Below are 9,654 nucleotides of genomic sequence, written 5' to 3' on the forward strand. Positions count from 1 at the left end.
TGTCAAAATAATTTCTTTTGACTGATATATCATGTTTCTAGAAAAAGGCTCAAAAATTTTGTTTGTGATTCTCAGCAGACAATAATACTTATAGTCTGGTGTATTAGCCACAGTCATTTTTTGTGCTAAGTCCAGTAGGGATTTGGTATTGGATTCCTACTTAAGTGAAAATCACGATGCTGATTTTTTTGAATCATTTGCTTTGTGTTTCACATTTTAATGTAACACATTTATTGAGACTTTATCCAATGGTAAGAAATTCACAGATAAAAATATTACACATATCCTATAGGTGCTTGCAGAAAGACCCTTTCATTTTCACTCCAGTATTCCAGCCTGAGTCTGGAAAATAAAAACCTCTATCACTTCATAATTTCTACCCACTCTTGAAAGGATGGTTGACATCTCATTGGTGGAGCTGAAAAACAGTTGAGCCTGTTCAACTTGGGGCCTTTCTCCTTTCTCTATTCAGATTAACTAGGGTGAGTGCATTCTTCTCTGTTCCTATTTCAGGGAGCAACCACCCATAGGTCCGGAGTTAGACTCACTTGCTAGAGGCAGTTCTGAAGGTCCATCTCATTCTCTGTTTGAAGACTCAGAGATATAAAGCAACAGTCCTCAGTGATTATATCTGCTCTGGAAAGACCACTATAGCCTTTCCAATAATAAAAACAATAGTCCATTAACTATCTTTCTGATTCTTTTATAATTTACATAAATTTGTTCAGAACTCCAAAGAGGAAGAGTGCTATTTACTGGCCCCTTAAAATAACAACATTCTTATAGCTTAGTTTTTCTACTTTCATATTTGTGGTCTTTCTTTTTGTGAATTCACACTGCACTGACTGAGGTTTAAAGGCAACTTAGATTTCTACTAGGAATTGGTAATTAATAAAACTTCTACTTTTATTCCAAAACAAACTAAGTATTCATTATCTGATGAGTATGTGTTTATTACCGGGCATTAGTGGCCATTAGGAAATGCAGTCCTTTCATTTCAGAAGGCTTCGTTTGAACTTCACAAATCACATTACAAACTCTGTCAACACCTTCAACTTTCTGATGAAGTCAATAAATAGAGAAACTGGACTGGGACAGGACCTAGCCCGGCTTGGAAGGTCAGATGCAAAGTGGAGCAGCCTGGGTCTGGAAGAGACTCAATCACTGCAGGCAGCAGAGCCAGAGGAGCTGACCCAGCAACCAAAACTGTCTCCCTCCAGGAGGCTAGTGGCTATTAGGAGAGTTCCTTCTTTATTCTTTTGAAATTTGTATTATGATAAAGAGAGATAAAGTCTGAGAATGTTGCCAATCTAAAGGGAACAAAACAAATAAACAAGAAGTCAATCCAGTGAACTGAATTCTGGTCATACCATTAGACTTCTAAATCAAGCTGTGATCCTTGGTGTTTTTGTTAGGAGAGCCATTAAATACACTATCTTAAGGAAGTCATGGTAGGCTTTCTCCAATTTGTGCTTGAATAAATATTAGCTGATCGAGAAAATCTACTTATGCTTTTCAATTTTCTTTACTTTAGGCATAAGGTAAATGCTGTAATGGTATATCATTCAGTTTGAAACAGAAAAATAAAAATTATACTAAGTGTTTAAACCAGAGGAAACAATACAGGGAATCAATCCCCCACGTGATGAAAGAGCTAAAAGATGACCAGGGGATGGTGAGGCAACCTACAAATGAGCAGCAGCAGGCAGCCTGGAGGAGGCTGTTCACTAGAGCCCAAAGGCCAGGGTTGTCTGACAGAATTTGAAATACAGCAGATCCATCAATGAAATCCAGAGCCATGGAGAGACTCAGACACTGAGAGGGATGCTGCCTGAGTCACACAGATGGGGGAAAGACCCTGGCTCTTCCCCTTCACTCTCCCTCTGACCTTCTGTCTGTGACTCCCTTTGGCTAAACCCATGTAATCAGCTGATACAGGGAGGGCCCAAAAACACAGCCTGCAAGGATTGCTCTCCCTGCAAGCCCTCATCTAGTGATACTAAGTAAAGCAAGAAGGGATCTGAAAGCAAACAAGCTAAAACTCTGCACAAGCAGTGTTTGTAAATTAGCAAATATCCCATCTTGAAAGTGTTAAATGTTTATTCCAGTGCTTTCTAACCAGAAGAATGGAGGATACAAGAAGTATTTGCTCACCATGTCCATTCTGTTCCTCATTTCTTCCTCCCAAACCATAAGGAATAAAGAAAATGGGTGTTTTTTTTTTTTAAAGATCTCCAAATAATTCAGATTACACTTTTATTGTTCCTCATTCCTTCATCTTTCTTACCTGGAAACAAGGCTCTACCTCAAGTCAAAATTCAAAATGGTATGCTTAAATGGTAATATTCTTAATGATTTTCCCTTCTTTCCTACTTTAAAATTGGGAGGAACAAAACACTCTAACAAATGAACAAACCACAAAAAAATGTTTTCTATTCTAGGAATTCCAAGACCACTAAACCAACATTAATTCTTAATTATAGGTTCAAATATGAGAATTTATAAAACTAAAAGGAGACAAAATTTAAAGAAAACACAGTGGCTTTATGTGATACATCAAAACCTTTTTAAGTATGACTTTTAGTATGAGTTAAATGGATTTCTGTTTTAGAAAGTAAAAATGACACTCTGCCTGACCTCTCAGTCCATAATAGCATTCCTTGGCACCATCTATAATGATTTTGTCCCAACTCTACCTATAATACTATAAAGTGGAGGCAGCAGAACCTAGGTCTGAAACTAGGGAATAATTAGTTCTATCCATGAGTGGAGATTTTATGAGTTCAGTAAATGAGGAGTGTCTGGTTGAGTACTTAGGAGGAAAGGGGGAATTTGATGTAGTGAAGTCATAATATACTACATATCCGGAACCTTCTCAGGAATCTAAAGGTCATCTGCCTTTCAGTCCCCAAGAAATACAACCCTGCAGAAACCTCCCTGGCCATTTACAACCTGCCTGGCTCAGCTTTCCCTCAGGGCCTGAAGGATTGCCCCATCTGCCAACTCAGGCAGCCAGACTATCCTGAGGCCTTTTCTAAATCCTTGATATACGATCTCACCTGTCCTGCATGGAATATGAGGCTAAAATATTATCAGAGAATGTGCCCAGGCTGCAGCAGTCAGATTTAACCCCTGTTCTGGGAGGTGATATTTGGGAAGGTAATTAAGGACTGAATAATAGGCTTCCTCATATGACCATGAGAGTCACCTCTGAGAATTTAGAAACCTAAAGTCCAGTGTGATGAGACGCAATCAGGGACAGGAGAGAGTTTCAGACATTAAGGGGCTCTGACAAAGCTTTTCCAACAACCCCTTCCCTATCACCCAGAAAGAATTCATTGGGATGCCCAAATCTGATGTCAGCTATTCCCTGGGGACATCGGAATGCTCTCAAGATGCAATGAGGATGCATAGTGAGCAGCTAAAACACCCCTGAAGATCCTTATTTCTTTCTTATATTGGTGTTATCAATCTATTTATTCATTTATTCTCTTGGCACTGTCTTCCTTTTCTCTCCATCCTTCTCTTTCTATACAAATAGATTTGAACCACAAATGAACAAAATTGAAAAGTATTTTCCAGGTTAACAAAGTTCTCTCCCCGTAGAATTTTATACTTTGATGTGCTGCCCTCTGTCTGATGTTTAGTGTTTTCCATAATGATGAAGTCATCTTTCCAACTGCAAAGTCATTTGATAACCCAGCCAATTACCTTAAATTTTTAATTTTTAATTTTTTAATTTTTAAAGTTGTTTATTAGCCAATAATTGACTGATTAATAATTTCCACCTTGTTCTACAATTGATTTAATGTGCTTTATAAGGACATGTATATTTTAAGATATAAATTAAATATATGTAAGAAAAAAGAAAGCAAAACAAGAATAAGATATAAAATTGAGCAAGAATTGAAGTGAATACACACACACACACACATAAATAAACATTGAGATCAAAATAATCACATTCCAGTAGGTAGCTTAGAAGTTTATATGTAAGCTTTAGAAAACATAAAATTGCAAACATGGTCAGTTGAACCATTAAAAAATGTATATGGTCCATTAGACAAATGCAACCCATCCTGACATAAAACCTGAAATAAAATCCCCTCATGTAATGTAATTAAAAATTTATCAATAACTAGCTTACAGAAAACACAATTGCAATATTTTAGGGACATTTTCTATAATATTCCTAGATATAAACCAATGTCATCGTGACGAAGTCCAATTCCACCAGAGAGATACAGCAGGTTCACAGTTACAGGAATTAGCTCTGTGCTGGAATAAATTATTAAAGTAACAGATTTCAGAGCACGTGGAGGTAAAAATGTACTGCTTAAGTATAGTTAAGCAAATAACAAATCTTTATTACAGAGTGCTTCTCTCAGCTAAGCTTTGACAGCTGTAAGGAGTAAATGGTTTACTATACGGTCTCTCAACTACTACTCTTGTGTTTTTAGTTAAAAACCAGCCTTCATGCCTTGATATTAAAGCTAGGGTTTTATAAGACAGCACTCTATCATAAAATTTTCACCTTACACAAATATGTATTCTGCCTCAGCTCAGAGATGAACCAAGAATAGGATGAAAGTTTTCCTTACACACTTATTTGGATCAACTTCAAGATTCAGATGAAATGATTGGCAAAATCCCAGGGTTCTACTGTCTGTAATTTTGCTCCAATAAGTTTGGCCTAGAAAAATGTCAACAAGGTTATAAGTAGATTCATGTATTCATTCAATGTCTGTTGAGCTCCTGCTACGTTTCAGGCCCTCTCCTAGATGTTAGAGAAAGAGCAGTAAGCTAGCAGTAAACAGACAAAAATTCAATCCTCCATGATCTTACCTTCCAGTGGATATCTGAGTTGGTTATTAAAAAATTCAATAAAACATTTTTTCAATACCTGGATTTGAGAAAGCCCATTTCTAAGTGTACTTTCCCAAAAATGATGTTTGAAAACCTAAAACTATTAATATATCTCATTTCTCAATGTATACCTCTTCTTAAATTCAATGTCTTTTTTTGCAATCACTTTGTAGGCCATTTTAAAAATCATCTTTATGTTATCTCACAGCTTTTATCATCAATTTTATAGACACTTCCAACATAAATACTTATTACAAATATAGAAAATGATTTTGTAACATTACATAAATGATGACATTATATATATTCCTGAGGGGGGAATATTTCACTATTTTCTTGACTATTGAAAATTTTAAGGAATTCTTGTTAGTTTTTCACAACCCATTCTCAGTCTAGTAAAAGGTAGTTATCAAATCTGATAATCTGGAAAAGGATATTTTATATTCTATTCTCCGTGTTTAGTCTTTGTAAATTAACGTTAATTTCTATGTTCTGTATTTCTGGTGTATATTAAGTGCTTATTAATCAAATACTAGTTTCTGTTTAGTGAGGAATTGACACTAATATGTCAAAAATGTGAAAAAGTAGATCACAATTTTATTACACTCAGATTTTTCGAAATATTTCTAATTTAAAGAATTATATTGTGTTATACAATGCAATAATATAGGGACAGTCCAGATTTATGAGTTAAATCACACTATTCCTTCATAGAGAGTTATAAATATTCCAGTTTGCCTACTATTTGGGTCAGGACTATGTCATAATCAATTATGTGACTCAAACATGTGGGAAATTATATATTTTTAATGAAATATTTCATATAAGTAGTCATGATTCGAAATACATTATTTTAATGAAATGTTCTTTAAGAAAAAGAGGGTTTTTTTTAGTCATGAATGTGAATAAAAATAGAAAGACATACTCACGGGATGCAAAACAATCCCCCAATCCACAAAATTCTGTAAATTTGATTATTTTTTATTTCCTATAATTATTTGCAATAGTAAATTTTTAGATATGTTTATTTCTAAACATGTAAATAGTTTAAAATAAGGTAAAATTTAGGAGATATTGAATGGATTTTAAAATGCTCAAGGGGGGTTTATTTTAGGCACAATGGTAATTAGGTGAATTTATAAGTAAGAAGTAAGAGAACTGGCCCTGTTCTAAGGCAGAATTTTTCCAAAAGCAAAAAATACAGAACAGACAAAAAGGAAGAATGATTCAATACAGCAATTAATAAATTGAACACATGTTATACATTTTAAAACAAGAAGTTCTTTAGCAAGTGAAATTAGAAGAAAAATATCAATAGCTAATATGTACCAATGTACTGAACTCCTGGTCTCTGCTCTAGTCATTTTATATGTAATCATTTACTCTTCCTAACAACCCTTCTGGGTCAGTACTTTTCTATCCCCATTTTGCAGGCAAGTAAACCGAGTCACAAAAACTCAGAAAAACTTGCTCAAGGTCACTCAACTAGTAAGTTGTGAAACTGGGGCTTTAACTCAGGTATTCTGGCTTCAGAACCCCTATGATATCCCTAATATTATAACAAGCATAAAAATAATATTTAAAATGAAAAACTGTGGGACCGGGCATGATGGCTTACACCTGTAATCCCAGCACTCTGGAAGGCCAAGGCAGGTGGATCGCTTGGTCAGAAGTTAGAGACCAGCCTGTGGAACATGGCCAAACCCCGTCTTTACAAAAAAAAAAAAAAAAAAAAAAAAGCTGAGCGTGGTGGTGCGTGCCTGTAGTCCCAGCTGTTCGGGACGCTGAGGCAGAAGGATTGATTGAGCCTGGGAGGTCGAGGCTGCAGTGAGTTCTGGTTGCACCACTGCACTCCAGGCTGGGCAACAGAGTGAGACCCTGCCCCCCACCCCTTAAAAAATAAAATAAAATGAAATGAAAAACTACAGATACATTAAGTAAATTAGTTAAGAGACAATAATATCTATTATATCATTTATCATTTGCAAATGAGAAAAGGAAGGAAGGAAGGATCAAGAGAAAAAAGGAAGGAAGGTAAGAAAAATATTTGAAATAGAGGAAAAATTATATGCTTGTCTACTTAGGAAAACATTTGGTGTGCAGGTAACCTCAGTAACTGACAATCATTTTAAAGTGTCTAATTATACCAGGGTGCATATGTATGTGTGCCTACAGATAGGCAAGAATATATCTTGTAGATGTAATATATTACATAAGCATTTATATATATTCTATATATAATACATTATACACACATATGTGTATATCATATGTGATACATGTAATTATATGTGTATATTCATATTATTTATGCATATATCCACACTCGTGTAATAAATGCTCAATAAATATTTGTTGAACAAACAAATGAATGCATATATACATATATACTTTTTGGAAGCTACACATGCACTATTCAAAATGGTTATCTTCAATAAGGCGAGCAGGGTTAGGAGGATGAGGGCTTTTACTTTTCACTTCATACCTTGTGGTATTGTTTGCATTTTCTACCAGTATTTACATATTGCTCCTTACTTTTTCATGTCAATTGTAATTATCCAGAAAACAGGATTGTGGGGCTTTTTTGCTCTATACTTATTAAAATATAAATAAATATAAAGAAACACAATATTTATTGACTACTTTTAAAATAATGATAGGAATCTAAGGGAAAACACACCATGCCTTGAAATTTACCTGAATTGATTCAGAGCAGTACAATAAATAGGTTACTCAAAATAATGGGGTTGTTTTCTTTTTGGTCAAAAGTCTCATCTCATGAATTTCCAATTCTCCAAATTTAAAATAAATGAATGTAAAAGCAGAGGTGAGACCACCACTACAGTTAGACGATAAATGCAAGGACCTATATCTCTCACTTTTAATCCTGTGTTATATTCCATTAAACTGCTTTCATTTATTCTGTAGATCTGTCCTGCCAGCCATATAGCCATAATTTAAATATTAAAACTGAAATCTTATTAGAAGTAATCTTACTTCCTAGTTTTCTTTTTGTCTTTCAGTAATTATTGTACCTGTGGGCAGGTGGTATAAAGGCTATGAAGTATATTAATAGATTTTTTAGTATCATGATTATCTGATACAAAACTGAAGTGTTACCCTTCTTAAATGTAATCAAGTAAAAATTATAGTTTTGATTAGCCATTGAATAAGTCCAGAAACATAATCAGATACTTGTCCATTTTGTCAACCTCTGATTTAGAGTCTTTATTACAATTGAATGGCCTGATTCTACTAACAAATAAAATATTTGATTTAAGTAGACAAGGAAAAAATGATTTTTTTTTCCAGGAAAACTTTCCTTTTCTCTTATGCAAAGAGATGGGCTAGAATCTTCCTAATGGTCTATTAAAACTACTAAGATTTGATATGGAAGGTAAGATGACTTTCAGTAATCTGATATACGTTAGAATTTTTATTTTATCCCCCTCTTCTCAAATCAATCAAAAAGATTCCTTGAACTTTTGGAATATAAGACACCAGGAAGAAGAATCATGATCTCTACCCAAAAATGTTCATCTCATTAAAAAAAAAAGATACAAATAAAAAATAAAAAGTTTAGCTTTCTACTAAAGTATAAAATTGTGCCATACAGATAATAAATCATCACTTTCTTTCTTTCTTTCTTTTTGTCATTCTTAAGATTTTTAAAAATCAGTTCCTCTACTTTCTAATGTTGGATTTCTTTGGGGCCCATTTTTTCAGGTTCTTCTCTACATCCTCCATCAGTGATCTCATCCTTTCCCATAGCTATGAAACAGTACCACTTCTGGTACTTCCCAAACGTATAGTTTTAATACGTCCTCAGACAGGATAGCCCTGCTGTTATTTGGCAAATCTTCTTGGATATCTTCAATGTTTCTAAGATTTAAACACCACAAAAATTTAACTCTTGATCATCTCTTTTCCACAGCTAACTGCTTTACCTGCATACTTTCTAGCCTCAGCTACTAAAGCCAGAAATCTGACAATCATCCTTCACAAGCTGACATTTCTCCTTAGCACCTATATCTCATTCATCATAAAGGCCTATCACCTTCCAAAGTATGACCTGACTCCATCCACTTCTCTCTTTGCACTTTTGTTGCTTACCTAAGTTCCTAACATTTCCTTTTTTTTTTTTGACCCTCCTTTCTACTCCATTCCATTTTCCATACAGCAGCTGAAATGACTGATTTAAAGTAAAAATCTCTGAGGTGACTCTTTCTCTTAAAAGCCTTCAAAAGTATCTCATTATAGTTAAGATAAAATATGAATAACATTTGATTCATATTCCTTGTGATCTTTACGTTTCAAAATCATTATTTTTCATGAAATTGATTATAATTTGTTAATGCATTTTATATGAGTGGTCTCTATTTTTGGTTTAATTTTATACTTTTCTGTTTGTTTAATCATCCCCTAGTAGACATTAAGTTCCATGTATAAAAGACCATGGTTCTTTATATACATAATCTCATTTAATACTCAAGATAACCCTGATGTGGTTTGGATCTGTATCCCCACCCGAATCTCATCTTCAGTTGTAATTCCCAATATTGGAGGTGGGGCCTGGTGGGAGGTGATTGGATCATGGTTGGGGAGATCCTTCATGAATGGTTTAGCATCATCCCTTTGGTGCTGTTCTTGTGAAAGATTTCTCATGAGATCTGGTTGTTTAAAAGTATGTGGCATCTTCCTCCCTTTCATCTCCTCCCTTTCTACTCCAGATGTGTGAAGTGCTGGCTCCCACTTTGCTTTCAACCATGATTATACGTTTCCTGAGGC

At 34.6% G+C, this 9,654-nt stretch overlaps 1 annotated feature.

Moving 5' to 3' along the window:
• Nucleotides 534-633: an enhancer, noted in NCBI's record as "active region_16593". NCBI's record gives its function as "activates an Ori minimal core promoter by ATAC-STARR-seq in GM12878 lymphoblastoid cells {active_cell/tissue: GM12878}" and the evidence as "EXISTENCE:reporter gene assay evidence [ECO:0000049][PMID:35858748]".

The sequence above is a fragment of the Homo sapiens genome, chromosome 2 (assembly GCF_000001405.40).
Source record: "Homo sapiens chromosome 2, GRCh38.p14 Primary Assembly".
Lineage (NCBI taxonomy): Eukaryota > Metazoa > Chordata > Mammalia > Primates > Hominidae > Homo > Homo sapiens.